The sequence below is a fragment of the Homo sapiens genome, chromosome 6 (assembly GCF_000001405.40).
Source record: "Homo sapiens chromosome 6, GRCh38.p14 Primary Assembly".
NCBI classification, from domain to species: Eukaryota; Metazoa; Chordata; class Mammalia; order Primates; family Hominidae; genus Homo; species Homo sapiens.
In genome coordinates, this window is record NC_000006.12 from 144,157,135 (window position 1) to 144,177,470 (window position 20,336).

Here is a 20,336-nt window from a genome sequence, read left to right on the forward strand (position 1 = left end):
TTTTATTGGGAAGTGCTCTGGGCACAATACACAGTAGGAGAGAGGGAAACGGGATTGCACAGGGGGAGAGACTGAACTGTGGGGCATGCACAACAGCGGCCTCAACAGGGAGGAGCTTGGAAGCTGGGATTGTTGTTCAGAATTGTTCTGCCTCCTGAGGCAAGAGGCTCAGCATTTGTACCTACATCAACTAATCATTGGATGCAGGCAGCAGCTCCCTTCAGTCCAGGGCAATTTCTGGAACTGGGAGCCTTCAGCAGCCAACCTTCCTAGTACCTGGGGGACTGAGGATCTTGGTCCAGAAGGGGATCTGGATACCACATCATTTACTACATTTGTAGCCAAGAGAGCATTCTCCTCTGCAACAGCCTTGTTTGTGTCTGATGGCCCAGACCATCACCTTGCAGAGTGGAGCCCAGAAAGTTGTCATTTTTTTCCAAGGCCCTTAAGGATTTTAGAATAGTTGACCAGAGAGCAAGAAGACAAAGTAGTCTTAATCCTAAGAAGATTAGGAGCAGAAGAGCCAGGGAGAGTAGGCCGTGGTGAGGGCAGTAGTGGTGTTTAACAAAGAAGGCTAAACTCTGGCACCCAGAGTGGCTAAACTCAGCCACCCAAACAGCTGTGGCTATCCAGACCCAGAACAAAAGCATAACACACACCAGTCCTTGCTGTAATGCTAGGCTTTAACATTGTTAAATGTTGAACAATTTTGTGATATTAGGGTTCCCCCCGCTCTCTCTCTCGCTCTCTCTTTCAAGCCCTTGAAAGTCCTCAAACCAGTCCAGTGTGTAGTCTGTAGATTATAACCTTCAGAATTACCAAAGATATTTCAGTACAAAAAAAAAACAGGGGAAAAACAAAAAAAAAAGAAAAGAGAAATAAAAGTCCAGGGCCCCATTCTAGATCCACTGGAATAGAATCCAGGGGTGGAACCCATGAATTGACATTTTCAACACATTTTCCCCAGAAGATTTTGATACATGCTATAGTTTGAGAACCTTCACCCTAAACTCTTATGCCTTTCGTGGTGACCAACTCTATTGAGATTTTTTCAGATTATCCAGAAGTCATGGGAACCGTGGGACAGCAGAGGAGCACCGGAGCCTTAGTCCCAGCAGGCCTGGTATAGTGAGAGTCATCCCTTGCTTTTCATTTAAATTCTTGATGTGGCCAACAGACAGCACAGCCCAAATTCCTTTGCTGGCTTCTGACCAAGATTGCAAGAGGGAGAGTGGTGTCCCTGGCTTGGCCTTATACTATCTTAGATAGCAGAGTGAGAGATGCCAAATTTTTTGAATAGTTGCAGATGGGGGATGGGAATCAGTGAACTTAGAGGAATCAGTAAACTTTCTAGGAGAATAAGAAGGTTTCAGGATATCTTATGCCAGAGGAAGCTTTGAGGTGCTTTTTTTTAAACTTTAATAATTGTCTAATAAGATCAGAGATAACTTACAGGATAATGTTAAGCATTCATAAATGTAGGATGGATTTCTAGGAGAATAAGAAGGTTTTAGGATATCTTATGCCAGAGGAAGCTTTGAGGTGCTTTCTTAAAACTTTAATAATTGTCTAATGAGATCAGAGATAACTTACAGGAGAATGTTAAGCATTCATAAATGTAGGATGGTATATTATCTGATTCACTGACATTGGCAATGATTTTTTCTTCAAAGGGAAAAGCACTTTTAAGCCTACCAATTTTTACTCCTGAAACACCAAATTGCTGTGTTTCTTACACTTTCCAGGCTTCATGCCTTTGCTGAAGTTGTCTGTGCCTGGGTCCCTTTCCCTTCTCCCTACCAAGCTAACTCCTTTTAAACCTTTTAGGATCAGCTCAGACACCACCTTCCCTGCCCTGTGGCCAGACTGACTTCTCAAAGTATTCCCATAGATCCCTCTATTATGGCATTTATTATCATTATTCTCTCTAACAGCCTGTAAGAGCAAGAACAGTCTTTTTCATTTTTGTGTATGAGAGACCTAGCCTCATCAAAAATGAGTGAAAAAAATAACGATTCTGGTGAGCGTATTTATTCAACAACTATTTATCGAGGCTTTCCTATATGCCGGGTGCTCTGGAGTAAATGGTGCAGACACAACAGGTACAGCTCCTGACCCTATGAAGCTTATGGGCAAGCAGAGAAGATAAGTAACAATTGAATATGTTATCAAACAACTACCAATAAAATATGGTGAGTACCAGAAAAAGCGAAGTGAAATTATAGAGCTGGAAACCCAGCCTAGTCTAAGGTCAGAGGAAGTGTCTCATTTTCCTGAAATATAAGTTATATCAAAATAGAAGTTACGGATTTGGCTTTGGTTACAAGAGACTACTTTTTAACAAAGGAAGATCTTTTGGTTGAGCTAGTTCAAAATTGACTCTGTGTGTGTGTGTGTGTGTGTCCGTCCAGTATGTGGAAAAAGACAGTACAGGAAAATGACGCCTTCATTTAATGAGGTAAAATAGGTAACAAGGAACGGAGAGGGAAGTTTCTGTGTGTCTCATTCAATGCACCATTACTAGAAGTTACTTTGTTAATATTTTAATATGTAATATACAGTGGAAGAAAATAAATGTAAAGCTCTGAAAATCATGAACTTACATCACAGCCTTTTAAAAATTAATCTCAAGGATCTGATTACTACGGCCTAGGAGGGTGCTTGACAGATTTGCTTTTGGGTCTTGTTGGAGACAGTGGGTGAAGTGCATTGCCCCAGAAGTCCATGCCCACTGAGGTTTCTCATCTTTCCAGGTCACTTTTGATGCCCTGGGTGAAGAGGCCACAACCCCAGTGTTGCAATTTGCAACCTCCACCCAGCTTGGTGGCTCATGCTGGGTCCTTTTTCTCCTTTTCTGGCCAGTTCTTGTTTTTTAAAAAAATATTATGATTTTTGAGAGACTCTGTCGCCCAGGCTGGAATGAAATGGCACAATCTCTGCTCACAGTAACCTCCGCCTCCCGGGTTCAAGTGATTCTCCTGCCTCAGCTTCCTAAGTAGCTAGGACTACAGGTGTGCACCACCACACCCAGCTAATTTTTGTATTTTTTTAGTAGAGACGGGGTTTCACTATATTTGGCCAGGCTGGTCTCGAACTCCTGACCTCAGGTGAACCGCCTGCCTCAGCCTACCAAAGTGCTGGGATTACAGGAGTGAGCCACTGTGCCTGGCCTTTTTAAAAATTATTTTTGTACCTCCTTATTTCTCCCCATAAATTGTAAGCTTAGGGTAAGGTTTGAGACTTCCTGATTTTTAACTTTTGAAGCTTTGCAGCTCTTCTGCTGCAATTTATTTACATTTATTATATTCAATAGATAAAGGACCTTAAGTTTAATATATAAGTTAACAGGCAAATCTTGGGTTGAAAAAGTACCAGATTCGTTCTCTAGTAAGAACCTATTTCTTGTTTAACCTGACATCACAAAGCAAATAGGCCAAGTGCTAACATGTGCATATTTAACCTATGAACCTCTACATTAAGTACTAAGAATACCAAACATTTGGCTGATTGCAGGGAGGGAGGGATTAATTCACCATAAAGCAGCACTTACTAGATGTAGGTGGAGTTATGTAATCCTCTGCTGTGTCCCATTCAAGTGGATAAACATATCCACACCATTCAGCATCTTGACCACAAAGACACCAAAAAAACTGGAACTATAAATTATAGTGCAAGTGAACATTTAACTCAGGCTTGAAGTATGACTTCAAGTGAATGGATGTGTGAGGTCCTGTGATGACGACCATTTGCCATGTATTTTCATATCTTTCCTCACCCCCTTTGGCATATTCCTTGGTTTATCTCAAGTATAACTTGATTCATGTTCTCATTTTTTGTCTTGCTTTTACCATAAATATTATATAAAAGGAGCATATGAATGGTAAAGAAATAATTCTAGACATCTGTTCTTGCACTTTTCATTTTGTATAGGTTGAACTTGGTTCATTGCTGAAGTGTAGGTAATGATTTTAGCCACGGTAAATCCAGTTGAATACTTAATTAACTGTAAATGAGCTCCATTTATTATATTTTCATGAAGAATTTGAATTTTTAAATAAGAAGCAATGATGGCAGAATGGAGTATTTTCTCTTTTTGAAAGTAAACTCGTTAGAGGATGAAACGTATTCCTTAAGGAATCAAAATTATAATAGTGTCACTTCATCTGAAAACATTAACAGTTAGTGGAGGAAAATCCTGTTTAGTCAGCATATTTTTGGATTCTTTAATTGGAAATTTTCTTTTTTTCTCCTTTGAGACAAAGTCTCACTGTCGCCCACGCTGGAGTGCAGTGGCATGATCTCAGCTCACTGCAACCCCCGCCTCCCAGGTTCAAGCAATTCTCATGCCTCAGCCTCCCTAGTAGCTAGGATTACAGGCGCCCGCCACCACGTCCAGCTAATTTTTGTATTTTTAGTAGAGACGAGCTTTCACCATGTTGATCAGGCTGGTCTCAAACTCCTGACCTCAGGTGATCCACCCACCTCAGCCTCCCGAAGTGCTGGGATTATAGGCATGAGCCACCGCACCCGGCCGGAAAATTTCTTAAGTTATTAACTGCCTTTTGCTGGAACTTCAAGTGCTATGGATAGTTTGTATTTCTGTTGACATCTAGATACGTGCACCCACCACTGTTAACAGCAGCACAAACACAATACATATTTTCATTCGTAGGATGTTTTCTCTCTGAAATTCCTATTATTTGGAATTTGAATGTAAGGGGCTGGACCTCTAAGCTCCTTATCTTTACTCTGTTATTTTTTCAACTCTTTTTTCTTTCTTTCTCTTTATAGAAAAAGATCTTCTATTTTTCTGCCTGTAAGATATAGCTCAGTGTGCTGGTAAGTAGGTGAAGGAGGAGGGTTTGAAGGTGCAACATTCCATGTAAAAATATTCACTGAATCCTCCTCTTTTCAGTTGGCTACCTCTACCGCACTCTAGATTCTCTTTTACCCTGTTCAGAGTCTAATCTGTCATCTGTCTACTCTTCTGCCAGGGTGGAACAGAGGATGGAGGGCCCTCCCACTTCTTTAAAAAGCTTCTGACCAAACCCAACTTGTTATTACCCCACCATCACGCCCTTTCCCGTAGATACTCGGCCTTTTATTATGAGTTCTGAGTCTTTAGAAATTTATTTGATGGTGTAACTTCGGTTGCTTCTTGGACTTCTCCATTGTTCACTGAGGATTTAACTTTCTTAAATCTACTAGACCAATTATCATTTATCCATTTGCTTCATAATTTCCAACATTGTGTTGCTGTTTTCTTCTCTCTTATTCTTTATCCTAGTTGGCTTATGCCTTTAGAAAGTTCCTTTAGTGGAGTTTTGGAAGGGAGCAAAAGTAATGTTCAATTTGCTATTTTATCCAGAATGTGGAAGGCGTCTTCAAAAATGCAAATATGCTTTCTTGATGGAGCAGTATATTAAGCTATTAGCACTTACAAGCAGATACATTCATCAGAACAGTTGTTTACTGCCCTAAAACATAGAGGATGGATCATAGGCATGGGATGTTTTGATGGACAAATTTGAATTTGGATAGGGGATGGGAAAGGTTGAGGGACATCTCTGGTTGGAGGGCATCTCCAGAAGAAAGGCAGGATAAGGTGGTTTGCCATGGTGGAGTTTGTGTAGGCCAAGACAGGCTAAGAGCAGTAAGTAAAAAATTACTCAACTATCATTTATAAATCTTCTTGTTGATATTCATAGAAAGTGTGTATGTTTACCAACATGAGTGACAACATAAGTATTATCTAAGAAAATACCTGCATTTGTTGGGAATTCATTCACTGTGTGTAAATACCTTTTGAGGTTCATTGTCTTATTCTAGTTTGCTCAGTGCTAGGAGTCCCATACAGGCTTATTCGATTCTGCATCCTTATTTAAACACTAAGCTATTCTTTGTGTCGTAGTTGAAACCAGTGATTGAAATTAATAAATTCATTGTAAATACATAGAAAACTGAAGATGAATTTCTCCCACGATCTTCATAGTTCCGTCTTTAAATGTGTTGTGAACCTCTGTCAGATAGTCGATAATGGGGAAGTTGCGTAAGTCAGTTTTGGTTTCAACTGTGTCTACATTTAAAATATCTCATCAGTCTTACCTTCTGTCAAATTTATAACATTTTAATTTATTTTTTTAAAAATGCTTTATGGGCTAGGCGTCATGGCTTATGCCTGTAATTCCAGCACTTTGGGAGGCCAAGGCAGGAGGATTGCTTGAGCCCATGAGTTTGAGACTATCTTAGGCAGCATAGCGAGACCCCATCTCTACAAAAATTTTAAAACTTAGCCCATGGTGAGACACCATCTCTACAAAATTTTTTATTTTTAAAATTTTTTTTTTAATTTTTGTTTTTTGAGACAGAGTCTTACTCTGTCATCCAGGCTGGAGTGCAGTGGCGCAATCTCAGCTCACTGCAACCTCTGCTTCCTGGGCTCAAGTGATTCTCCCTGCCTCTGCCTCCCAAGTAGCTGAGATAACAGGCACCTGCCACCACACCTGGCTAATTTTTGTATTTTTTTTCTTAGTAGAGACAGGGTTTCTCCATGTTGGCCAGGCTGGTCTTGAACTCCTGACCTCAGGTGATGCACCCTCCTCAGCCTCCCAAAGTGCTGGTATTACAGGTGTGAGCCACTGTGCCTGGCCCCAAAATTTAAAAATTAGCTGGGTGGTGGCACATGGCTTGTAGTCCCAGTACCCAGGAGGCTGAGGTGGGAGGATTGCTTGAGCCCAGTGGATGGAGGCTGCAGAAAGCTATGATTGTGCCACTGCACTCAAGCCTGGGTAACAGAGCAAGACCTTGTCTCTCTCTCTCTCATAAAAAGGTTTATGTTAAGTTTTTTTGTTAGTTTTGTTTTTTGCTTATCTAGAAAATATACTTTAAAAGGACTGGGACCACCTATGTTTTGCTCACCAAGCTGACCTCATCATATCATGCCTGGCACATAAATACTCAATAAATACTTGTTGAATAAACACATGAAAGTCCCTGTCAGAGTAGCCTGTGCAAACATGTGTCCTGAAAGATGTGGATAAGAATATCAATCACATAGTCTGCCTTGTGAATATTACTTAAAATCTCGTTAAAAGCCTTCCCAACTTGGTTTATAAAAATAAAATAAAGCTAATGGATGCCATTATTTCTATGCTGTTGTGTATATTTTAGCTAATAGAATTGAGGTATTTTAATATTATGTTAAAATCAAATGATAAAGAATACTCAACATAAGTAAAAGTGAAAGTTAACGGTACTTAAAATTGTATGCATTTCATGATTTCTGGGAATGATTCTGCATGGATACTGATAGTCTATTCACAAGAGAACAAATTACATTATTCTTTAGCTACAGAATTTTCTGCAGTTTTGGACATATAAAAAGATATCTACTGATTCCCATGATAAACATTACCAGTATCACTGCAAACATGCAGCATCTCTTTTATCCAAATTAGAAGCTCACATATGAGGGAAAATTAAAATTCTGTTGGTATTAAAAGATGTTTAAGATTTTTTTCAATACCTGTAGATGTTGATTCTATATAGCTTTATTTTATTTTATTTTTCATTTTTTGAGACAGAGTTTTGCTCTTATTGCCTAGGCTGGAGTGCAGTGGCACAATCTCGGCTCACTGCAACCTCCATCTCATGGGTACAAGTGATTCTCCTGCTTCAGCATCCCAAGTAGCTGGGATTACAGGCACCTGCCACTATGCCTGGGTAATTTTTTTTTTATTTTTAGTAGAGTTGCGGTTTCACCATGTTGGCCAGGCTAGTCTCAAACTCCTGACCTCAGGTGATCCGCCTGCCTCGGCCTCCCAAAGTGCTGGGATTACAGGTGTGAACCACCATGCCCAGCCTATATAGCTTAAAAAGAGCACAGTTGCTACATGGAACAGTTTCAATTGGGGTAAATGTGTAAGAAATTTGATCTACGACTACTTTTTAGTTGGTTTTGTTTTGCAGGGAGATATTGGTTATTTGTCTTCTTTGACAGGTGTAATGCAATATATTCACTTTGAAGAAAAATTTTCTTGGCCGGGCGCGGTGGCTCACGCCTGTAATCCCAGCACTTTGGGAGGCTGAGGCGGGCAGATCACCTGAGGTTGGGAGTTTGAGACCAACCTGACCAACATGGAGAAACCCCGTCTCTACTAAAAAATACAAAATTAGCGGGGCGTGGTGGTGCATGTCTGTAATCCCAGCTACTCGGGAGACTGAGGCAGGAGAATTGCTTGAACCCGGGAGGCGGAGGTTGCGGTGAGCAGAGATCGCGCCATTGCACTCCAGCCTGGGCAACAAGAACGAAACTCTGTCTCAAAAAAAAAAAGAAAAACAAAAAAGAAAAATTTTCTTTACAATAAGTGAGTTTGTTTTCTTAGCTCCTTTTATATAGTGAGTACAAAGCACCTAACTCTTGTCTTCCTGAAGTTTGAGCTGAATAGAGCATTAATATGCTGTAACTTGAGTTATAGGAGTAATATAAAAACTAATAATAGAATCATTCTTTGGTTTTATAGAATCATTTTAGATCGTATCATCTGCACATGCTTCCAAAGGAGTGGTACTTATAGTATCTTCAATAAGCTACCTGATAAATTAACTGATTATGGATGGTAGTAGTTCAAAATACTAACTCCTAAGACTGTGTTTGTAAAATACTTTAAAGTTAACAAAGTGCTCTCATGTACATAACTTACGTAACTTAACAATCAAAAAGTAACCTTTGTGAGGTAAGTAGAGTTATTACCATTTTACAGATGAGGAAATGACAGATGTTAATTGTCTTGCTCAACTTCTCGCAGCTAGAGATGGAAATGGGAATAAGCCCTCGCTTACCAGGCCAAGTACCCTTTCTCCTACATGGCATTTGCTTTTCAAATGATATTAGCAGCCGTAGGAGTATCTACCCTTTGCTTCTTGTTTGGAAATAGTACTTTTAAGGCTTCTGTCTGTTAGATGAAGAACAAGATCTTTTCACTGCGTGTTCTTGAATCTAACTGAAAAACCTAACACAATCTACCACCACTAACAATGAAACCTTATTAATTGGTGGTGGGGGTGAGGGGAATACAGCTTACCTTTCTGAGACACTTATGAAGAAGAGATGTTCAACGTATATGTAATGCATTAAAATTGTTAATTTGTTCCCAAAAGAAAACCTAGCCACTAATTTTATAAACATTAAGTCTTAAAGACATCAGTCCTCAGATTGGCTTAGATGCTTCAAGATTTTCACAATCTCTGGGACGTGTGGAATTGGGGTAACCACCTTGAGGTTCTTAAACATGAAAGCACACATGAGGATTTTCTTGCATTCTAAAATTTCCTTTTCTTTTGCAAGTTTCCCTCAGTCTTCCTTTCTTTCTGTTTCTTTTCTTTTCTTTCCTTTTTTTTTTTTTTTTTTTGAGAAAGAGTCTCACTCTGCGGCCCAGCTGGAGTGCAGTGGTGTGATCTCAGCCCACTGCAACCTCTGCCTCCCAGGTTCAAGCAATTCTTCTGCCTCAGCCTCCCAAGTAGCTGGGACTACAGGCATGTGCCACCACACCCTGCTAATTTTTGTATTTTTAGTAGACCCGGGATTTCACCACGTTGGCCAGGCTGGTCTCAAACTCCTGACCTGATGTGATCCGCCCGCCTTGGCCTCCCAAAGTGCTGGGATTACAGCCATGAGCCACAGTGCCTGGCCCCACCTTCCCCCTTTCCCCCTTCCCTTCCCTCCCCTCCCCTCCCCTCTCCTTCCCTTCCCTTCCTTTTGTCTACCTCTCTCTTTCTTTCTTTTTACCTGACTTCACCTGCACAAAAATTTTGTTGATGGAAAGTACAGTGTGACTTGCCCTGTGGCCCTGCATCTCTGAGGGATGCCCCTGGGAAGAAGAAACCCCAGAGAGCTCCTGTAGTTTTCCAGGGAAACAAACTAAATTTCACAGTAACAGGATTGGTTCTTCTGAACACTGTCTCTTAAGTGTTGGCAACCTTCTGGTATAGAAAAGAATCTGGAAGAATATGTATTATATTTTATCATTGGTTATTTTATAGAATTAGTATATATAGTTGTATTAGATGATGGAAAATTGTTACTTTTCATGTTAAACAATTCTGTCTTATTTGATTTATTATTACAAGTTGAGTATTTCTTATCTGAAATGCTTGGTACTAGAAGTGTTTTGGATTTCAGATTTTTTTGGATTTTGGAATATTTGCATATACATCATGAGATATCTTGGGGATAAGACCCAAATCTAAACACGAAATTTATGTTTCATATATACCTATACACATAGCCTGAAGATAATTGTATACAATGTTTTTAATAATATTGTGCATGACAAAGTTTATGTACATTGAACCATCAGAAAACAAAGGTGTCACTATCTCAGGCACCCACGTGGACAATCTGTGCTTGCTTGGTATCACCATCATTCCTGACTCTGAATTTACATGCTGCTGATAAGCAATCACTTCTCCTTTTTTTCATTTCTTTTTTATTTTCTTTTTTTGAGACAAGATCTTGCTCTGTTGCTCAGGTTAAAGTGCAGTGGCACGATCACAGCTCACTGAAGCCTTAACCTCCTGGGCTCAGGTGATCATCCCATCTCAGCCTCCCAAGCAGCTGGGAATACAGGTGTACACCACTGCTCTCGGCTAATTATTGTAGTTTGTTGTAGAGGTGGGGTTTCACCATGTTATCCATGGCTGGTCTTGAACTCCTTGACTCAAACAGCCTGCCTGCCTAAGCCTCCCAAAGTGCTAGGATTACAGGTGTGAACCACCATGCCTCACTACAGTCATGTTCTTAGACTTATTCACACATAAGTACTTATGGTAAAAAAAATAACATACCATTAATACAGTGAAAAAAATAATGTGTTCAGGGCAACTAAGCCCAGTAGCATCACCAAATACCTATACCCACTGTTAACAGCAACAACAATGGCAGGCTTTCAGTCTGTATGTGCAAATTATGTATTCTGATTAAAAAGTTACTGTACACTGTATTTTTTGTAGGTGAGAAGAAACATCAGTAATAGTTGAGGGACCAGAAAGTGGGTCCTCTGAGGATGAGGAGGCATTCTGCTGGATGGCCTTTTCAAATATTTCCTCCAGAGTCATCTGCCTCATTAACAATGGTGTTTGTCTTAGAAGTCTCTTTGATTTTATAAACTGACATCATTTCTTATTCTGTTATACATGCACGCTGCTCTAGTCCTTCAATAAGCTCATCACACATCCACTATGTCATCTATAGGCACTTTTTCTGCAGTGTTAATGGTATCTTCCTTGTCACTATTATCACAATCATTTTCATTGACAACCATTTCAGCTTTTTCATCAGCAGTCAATGAATGAAGAACTGTAGCCTCTTTGTTGATGTTAAAAAAAACTTCATTGATGTCTTCCAGCTTACTGACTCTGAAGGTATATTTTTTGCATATGTAAGGAGGTCATACATCATTTTTTCTCTCATCTGATATACGGAATCCTTCAAAGTCACCACGTTGTTCATCATCATCACTGAACCCACCAGAGCTTGTGCCAGGTATGCACAACTGTATCTTTAGTCATGTGTTCTAAACATTGGCAACAGCATATATGGCATCCCTCATGCTAAACTCCTTTTGAAAATCTTCTACACTTATGCCTCTCTTCACTGCTGCTAGCATGCTGTTTAAGAAAGCATTATTTAATCCTCATTGATCTAAGGATACCTTGTCACATGGGTGAAGTAGAGTAGTCACATTTTAGGGAAAGTACGTGGCATAAACATTATTTTTGATGAGAATTTCCACTGGAGGATGAGCAGGACAGATGTGAAGGAATAACAAATTCTTGCAACTGTCATCCAGTGCAACTTCCCTGCAGTGAACACAAGCTCCTGGTACCAAGTGCTTATGAAACTAATCAGAAAAGACACCCCTGGTGATCTAAGCCTTTTTATTAGCATAATGGATTGGTAAGAAATTCACTCCTTGGAAACAGCAAAGACACAAGCTTTTGCCTGTCATAGCCAGATTACACTTATGCATGCCTGCTGCATCAGCACATCCCTGCACAGTTGTTCTGTCCTTGGCATCCTTAATTCCTGTAGAGGCTGTCTCAGCTCTAGTCAGTGTCTTTCCGGGGCAATAACACCAAAACGGTGATGTTTTATCAGCATTGCAAACTTGTTGTGGAGTCAAATTTTCATCAGCAATGACCTTGGCAAATTCATCAATTAATTTCTCTGCTGCTTTGTGATCAGCAGATGCTTCATCACCACACATCTTTGAAAATTTGATGCTGTGTCTTTTCTAAAATTTCCGTAACCAGCCTTTTGATTATTTACAGTTTCCTTCAATTTTCAGTTCACTGTGATAGATCTAGCATGTTTATGGCCAGCATACCATTAAATGGCATGTGTTCAGTGTAAGGCTGATGGATCCACCCTTTCAATACATGATCAAGATCTTCATTTCTAGCTTTATACAGTGTTTTCCTCCCTCCTCCCCTTCCTTTTTTCTCTCCTTTTCTTTTCCCTCCCTCCCTCCCTTCCTTCCTTCCTTCCTTCCTTCTTTCTTTCCTTCCTACCTATGAGGTCTTGCTCTGTCACCCAGGCTGGAGTGCAGTGGCACAATCATAGCTCACTGCAGCCTCAAACTCCTGGGCTCAAGTGATACTCTGACCTCATCCTCTTGAGTAGCTAGGACTACAGGCACACACCACCACACCTGGCTTTTGTTTGTTTTTTGTAGAGCCATAGTCTCACTATGTTGCTAGTATTGAACTCCTGGGCTCAAGTGATCCTCCTGCCTTGGCCTCCCAACACACTGAGATTACAGGTGTGAGCCACCATGCATGGAGTGTTTACTATTTTTTAACTTAACTTCTGTTCATCATTTTCAGGATGGAACTTCAACAATTTATCTTTTTGTTTCTTCAGGTCATATAAGGTGGTCATTCCAACACCATATTTTTCTGTCTGGTTTCTCCAATAGCTTGATTTTCTTTGCTACAGATAAACATAAACGCTTCCCCTTTTTCTTGTCACTGTTACTCATAGAAGTATCTGCAGGCCTTTTTGAAATTTTCAAAAATGTCAGAGCAGAGTATAAGCAAAGAGTCATAGTGATTAATACCTGAAGTTCTTGGTGCTATGTGGAGCATGGTGGAGAATCTGCTATTGGTGCATCCAGCCTGCTGCACACATGCCATTTTATTACCTTTTGTCTGTGTGTGTGCGTGGGAAGGGGAATCTGGACATGTGCAGAAAAGATGTATTGCAGCTGAAGGGGGATGGGAGGGTCTTTTTTGCCTTGGGGACACTGAGTAAATTGTGTGTTATGTACTTGTGTTTTGACTGCGACTTGTCACAGGAGGTCAAGTGTGGAATAGTCCCCTTGTGGCCAATGCTCAAAAAGTTTTAGATTTTGGAGCATTTCAGATTTCAGATTTTCAGATTAGGAATGCTCAATCTGTATTATTATTATTATATTTTACAAAGAGCATGGGTTGCTTTCATAATCAGAAGGAGATATTTTACAATAAAATAGTTGGAAGAAAGATATTTAAAACCTCAAGTAATTGAGTAATGCACAGGTATTAGTGTTCACTTATGATCATAGATGAGACAGAAAATAAACTGTTAGTAGTGTAATTAACAAATGGCATCATTTATACAAATAGTTACTGAATCTACATTAGTTATTTGAGGGAATTTAAATCACAGGAATACATGACCATAGGTAACATATACAAAGTGCTCACTCTCTGCCAGGTGCTAGTCTTAAGAGCTTTACATGGCTTACCTCATTTAATCCCCTCTACTATCCTATGAGGTAATTATTTATACATGGAGAAGACCAGGTATAGAGAAGATGGCCTACAACAATACAGAACATAGCAGAGGCTTGAAAAGCACTCTTCGATTAAGAATTGCACTCATCTGTTCAGAATTGCCCTAACTGCTGAGAACCCTGAAACCAGTGAGGAAACCCAGGCAAGACCCAGTAGCGGGAGAGCTGAGATCTGGATATGTCTCCACATAATTCCCCAGGCTTGAACACTTAGCCCCCCTCCTATACGTCCCTGAGTAGATGTGGAGTTCTAAACTGATTCTACAGCTCTGAAAAGAAGTGTCCTGATTGCCATTAACATTTTGAAGGGGGTCAGTAAGGCCATAATAAGCTTCTGAAATTCCTTAGAAACCTAGTTCACATCCCACTAATTTTTGCTCTTTTTAGCATGGCATCAGGAAACTTCTCTGGTCCAGTCTTTGATGATGAAGGAAACTTTGGGATGTGGCAGTGGAGTTGTGTTTTTTGGGAAGTTGCACTGTGCCTACATACTGTTTATTTTGGTGAGCTGAATGATAGACTTGTGATACACTTCAAACTATCCACTTCCATTTAAAAACTGGCTCTTCAAGTTCTCAAAACCTCTTATCAGACTGAAACTCAGCCAAGGTTAAAACTGCCAAGTATCTCTCTACTTTCCTGACCCCACTGCTCAAGGACTCCTATTTAGCACACTGTATTATCGAACAGCTTTTGCAGAGTCTTTGTGTGGAAGCTGTGTGTGTGTGAGATAATCTTTTTTTTAGCATCTTTTTTTTTTCTCCTCACCGTAAGTATGACCACAGTCTTCAAAAAACAAACAAACAAAAAAGAAGCGCTGTCTTCAGACATGTTAAGAAACATGTGCTTTTAAAAAATGTGTACGCTTTATATTAACTTTTACATACAATATGAGTAGAATATCACAAAGGTCTACTGAATTAAAATCAAGATATTAATATATACCTTAAGTCACAATTATTGGATAGGTGACATACTTCATAAGGACAACTGTTTGGTTCACGTTGCTTATGTTTGTGTTTTAAAATCATAACAATAAACTTTTGTTTTAAATGCACGAGAATTTACTTTCCAGAAATTATAATTTATCCATGATTCACAGCAGCCTCCATGTCTTCTTTAAAGAAGAATACACCTTAAGGAGCATGGAGAAACCCAAGGAGAGGTGTATCAGGTAGCTTTGTCAGTATAACAAGCCACCCCCAAATAACAATTTTCTATTTCTCATGGGTGCAAGGATTAAATGAGATAATCCATGTAAACCTTCCACAACAGTCTCTGGCAGATAGTAAGCACCTGTGATTCTTCTACGGATCTCACCTGGACTCAGTCATGCAGCTGTAGAGGTGGGTCAGCTGGGGGCTGGCCTAGCTCTCCGTGCGGTCTTCACCCTCCAGGAGGCTAGTCTGAGCTTTCTCACATAATGGTTTCAGTGTTCCCAGAGCAGATAAGCCCCAAGGTGCTAGTGCTGTTGAAGCCTCTGCTTGCTCCATGTTTCCTCCCATCCTCTTGGTCAAAGCAAGTCTCATGGCCAAGGGTAGAGAAACTGATTCAAAGGGTAGAGAGACCGACACCACTTCTTGATGGGACGTGCTGCTAAGAATTTGTTGCCATTTGTTGTAATCAAGTATAGTCTGTCTCTGACAAAAATTATTCACATTTCTTTTGCAAGAAAAATATGCTCCCTCCCATCCCAGGATTCCCCGAAGTCTCATCAGATTATAGTATTAGCCTCGAAGTCTAGAGACTTATGCCTGATCTGCATGAGATCTAGATACAGTTCAGACTCCTCAGAGATAGCTCTTCTTATGCTGATCCTCTTGATCCCAAGACAATGAACAGGCTGTCTTTCCCATACACATCCAACATATAATGATGAGATAGGAAAAGGATAACAAAAGTAGACACCCCATTTAAAAAAAAAAAAGAGCCATTAACAGGATACATATGACAACCACTGGTCCATAGCAGTTCTGTCCAAGCACATGTTACCAGGTGCCCCTGATCCTGGGCTAGGCCATGTTCCTTGATTAGGACCCAGCTCTGCTTTTCAGAAGTGGTTTCTTGGTTTATATTCCTCCACTGCTCTTGGCTCTACCCTCTGAAACTCTTCTTTTCCCACAACAAATGGCTTATTTTTGCTCCTAAATAGCTTCATTGGCCTAGATCCTGATCATAAAAAGTTGGGGACCCAGAGGCCTCTTTTCCTTTGAAAAGTCTTTGTATTTTTAGGCCAAGGTTGTGTGTGTGCTTTTTAGTAAAATTCTCTTAAAAACTTTGTGGATTTCCAAATACTCTAATTAGGCTCCATGCCCCTAAAACCTATGTTCATAATTGTTTTCATGTTAGACCTCTGTCTACTTCAGGCTGAGGATCAGGTTGTTTGAGACAACACACTTAGAGTCTTAGAGCTCACTTTGTCTAGCTGAGAAGGTCTGCGAGGCAGCTTATTCAATTTTACCGAGGTCTAAGGCCATTTCTTACTTAGAATTGTTTCTTCCAGTTGAAGAGACTGGAGAGATAAAAAGTTTTTATTTTCCTATCTTGTGAGTTCTGGTTTCTCTCTATTTTCTCTAAATAATGCTTGCAAACTAGATGATTCAATTTTTAGTTTGTCTCTATCGTGCAGAACTTCTATGTAGTTATAGACACACTCAAAACACTTTCAACATTGTCTGGAGATCTTTGCAGCGAGATGCAAAATTCATACCAACATTTTCAGCCTTTGGAGCTGCCATAGGCAACAGTGTTGCCAAGTGTTTGGCTGCCTATGATATGGGCTGCCTTTTCCCCTGACTGCTCTCGCAGTTTCCTCACCACTTCCACCCTCCTCTGACAGTCTGCATGCCATCTTTCCAGTTTTACTTAACAGTTACATCACTGCTTTTCACCTGCTATCTGGTGCCAAAGCCAAGGTGGAATGTTTTAGGTTTCTGTTCTGGCAGCATGCCACTTCTAGGTACCAATTTTTCTGTCATTTAGCTTATGCTATGTAAGAAGCTGCTACCCGTTTTGGTGGTTTCAAACACAACGATTTATTATTTCTCACTATCCTGTTGATTGGCTGAGCAGTCTTCTGTTGGGCTCTCCGCGGCTCCTTCATTTTCAGTCTTTTGTTAGGTTAGCTGGTGGTTGTGCTCAGCCTCGAGTACTGCTCAGCTGGGCATCATCTTCCTGCAGGCTAGCCCAGGCTTCGTCATATAGTGGAATTAAGCTACCCAATAGCAAGCCCTTTTGCACAAATGCTTTTCAAACCTCTGCTTGCATCATATTTGCTAATGTCTCAATGGTCAAAGCAAATCTCAGTCTCATAGCCACCCTCAGACTCAAGGAGTTGAGAAATAGTCTGTACCTCTTGATCAGAGAAGCTGCAAAGAATTTGTAGTAAGAAGATTTTTATTTTTATTTTATTTTTATTTTGAGACAGGGTCACGCTGTCATCCAGGCTGGAGTGCAGTGGTGTGATCTTAGCTTACTGCAACCTCTGCATCCCAGGTTCAAGCGATCTTCCAGCCTTAGCCTCCCGAGTAGCTGGGACTGCAGGTGTGCACCACCACACCCGGCTAATTTTTGTGTTTTTGTAGAGCTGGATTTTGCCCTGTTACCCAGGCTGGTCTTGAACTCCTGGGCACAAGCGATCCACCCGCCTTGGCCTCCCAAGCCAGGATTACAGATATGAGTCCCTGTGCCTGGCCAGAAAAGTTTTTTTTGCACCCTTTCACAAAGAGTATGTACAAATTCAAGGGGAAAGAATGGGGCCACCTAGGAGGTCAGATCAAGAATGTGGGATGAGAACAGATGCTCACCACGTCATGGAAATAATCTAATTGGTTGATGTATTCATGGTTCTGATACTATCTGGTACTACAATACTAACATTAGGCCAGGCACAGTGGCACACATCTGTAATTACAGCACTTTGGGAGGTTGAGGCAGAGGGGATCACTTGTGCTCCAGAGTTTGAGACCAGCCTGGGCAACAGGCAAAACCCCATCTCTACAAAAGATATAAAAATTAGCCCGCAGTCCCAGCTACTCGGGAGGCTGAGGCGGGTGGATCACTTGAGGCCAAGAGTTCGAGACCAACCTGGCCAATGTAATGAAACCCTGTCTCTACTAACAATGCCAGACATTAGCTGAGCATGGTGACACATGCCTGTAGTTTCAGCTACTCAGGAGGCTTAGGCATTGCTAAACATAGGAGGCAGAGGCTGCAGTGAGCCATGATTGTGCCACTGTACTCCAGCCTGGGCAACAGAGCGAGACCCTGTGTCAAACAATAATAATAATGATAATATAGTAAAATTAGTAGTTATCATTTGTTGAAGTCTCAATATATGCTACTCTCATGAAAATGCTTTATACATGTTAGAATTTTATTGCTGTAAATGGAAATGGCAATTACATAAGAGTTTTTTTCCACTTTGCTAATAACATTGTTTTTTCTTCTGCCTCATCCTCCCGAGTAGCTGGGACTACAGGTATATGCCACCACGCCCAGCTGATTTTTGTATTTTCAGTAGAGATGGGGTTTCACCATGTTGACCAGGCTGGTCTTGAACTCCTGAACTTAGGTGATCCACACACTTCGGCCTCTCAAAGTGCTGGGATTACAGGCATGAGCCACCGCGCCCAGCCTTAATAACACTCTTTTAATCATTATTTGTATGTGAATACAATGAGCCTCTCTTTCCTCATCTTTACAGTGAAGGCACTGTGCAAGCTAGTCATTACAGGCTTTTTCTGCTCTCACCTTCTTTGATTTTACTTAACATGGTGGTTGGGTTGATTAAGGAAGGAACACAGTAAGTAGCTGCTCCTTACCCACCTGACTTCCACACCCGTGGAGAAATAAGAAAGGAAAAGCAGTCAGAGGCCAAAGGGTCTCGTTAGTGACCGATAAAGACAAGGTTGGAAGATGTGGCTTACATCTGTGGGACTGTGCATTCTGATCTTGAAGCCAGCATTAGCTGGATTTACCCTCCCTGGCCACAGCTGATTTCACCCACCCCACCCAGGGGTAGTGCAGAGACAACACAGGTTCTCTGCTAAACCCACTTTTAGGAAAAAGAAAGAAGTGGCTGGGCTACTGCAGACAGGTTCTTCTTTTAGATTCACTAATTAGATAAGCAACTCCATGCCCCTTTGCAGGAGGAGGTGGAGAGGGATGCCAGAGAAGGGAAGAAACAGAGCAGAGAATATTGCTCCTTAACAACACTAGCGCCTCCCGACCTAGTACCTCCCCACACTAGCGCCTCCCACCCTAACTCCCCCAACAGCTTCAGTGCATGATTAAGTGGAAAGGGCATGAACTCAGGACCTGGACAGATGTGAGTTTAAATCCCAGACTTCTCTCTTACTCACTGGGTGAACTTAACTTCTCCGAGACCCAGTTATTAGTAAATCGAAAATGATGTTACCCTCCTCCCAAGGTTATTGTGAGGATTGTGGTGGATTTTATATCAGTTCTCAAGCACAATGACTGGTTTGGGGTGCACACAGTCTGTCACTGAGATTCGTTTTTCCTTCCTTGCTTTACGGAGTGGGCTTGATTCTAGAGGGCTGCAGACACACGCAGAAAGTTACTATTATAGAATGTTTGCTTCTCGAATGTCTTTGCTTGCCACAGTCTCTAAAGGGAGTGAGAAGACTGTCAGTGGTGAGTGGAGATAACTGAGGAAGGGTTTGCTATTTTAACTCCCAGGAAAGAGAAACATTTTAAATCAAATCAAGCTGATCTTTGAACACATGGTTGAAAGATGTTAATAATGGCCATTTGAGTCATCAATAAATTGTGTCTAATGCCCTGTTTTTTAAAAAGCAAGGAAGTGTGTCCAGGCATTTTAGAAGAGGATTTCCAACAAAGATAAGTAGATGCCTTTGACATTTGAAGGGAGAAACTTCAGTTACTGTAAAGGTTACTTACATGGAAAACCCTCATGCATTGATGATGTTGGATAACTCAGATATTTCCGTACCTTGTGTAAAAGATATCAGCCATATATAAGAATATTTTTTCTGGGAGAATTTAACAGGAGTAACCAGGCAATGAGACTAGAATAAGTGGCCCAAAGGACACTGTTTACAAGAAAGAGGAACAGATAAAGGAATGTAAAAATTCTTAACTGGTGTTACGAGTTGGAAAAGAAAAGGTCATTGATGATTCTGGAAACTCCATGGATTTCTCCCTTTCAAAGATACTTCATGGAATAGTTACAAAATATAAAGGAATTACTTAAAGGCATATATGTTTTCCAACTGGACTCAAAATCTATTCCCCATCATTTTTTAAACATAGATCTTTGCTGTATTTTCCAGGCAAAGTTTTGCTTCACATTCTAGGGCCAAAGGGAAATCAGATGTAAGAGTTACAACAACTGTTTTAGTTTGTAAATACTAATAGAGATACAAGTGGAAAAATTTGCACAGATGACTTGAGCCTTGAGGCCTTGACCCTTGAGTGCTCCTGTCTTTACTTTCTCCCTTAGCTCATCTACTGGCT

The 20,336-nt window shown here is 40.7% G+C and overlaps 1 protein-coding gene across 10 annotated transcripts in view; it reads left to right on the top strand.

The window, feature by feature from the left end:
• STX11 (syntaxin 11) overlaps window positions 1–20,336 on the top strand; it is a 51,977-nt gene that overhangs the window by 17,172 nt on the left and 14,469 nt on the right. For 5 of the 10 annotated variants that reach the window (XM_047419439.1, XM_047419440.1, XM_047419437.1 and 2 more), the window contains one exon: window positions 11,406–11,542. The exons of the other annotated variants lie outside the window; for them this stretch is intronic. The gene's annotated coding sequence lies outside the window, so the exon portion shown is untranslated. The remainder of the gene's footprint in view (window positions 1–11,405; window positions 11,543–20,336) is intronic. 10 annotated transcript variants of the gene reach the window in all.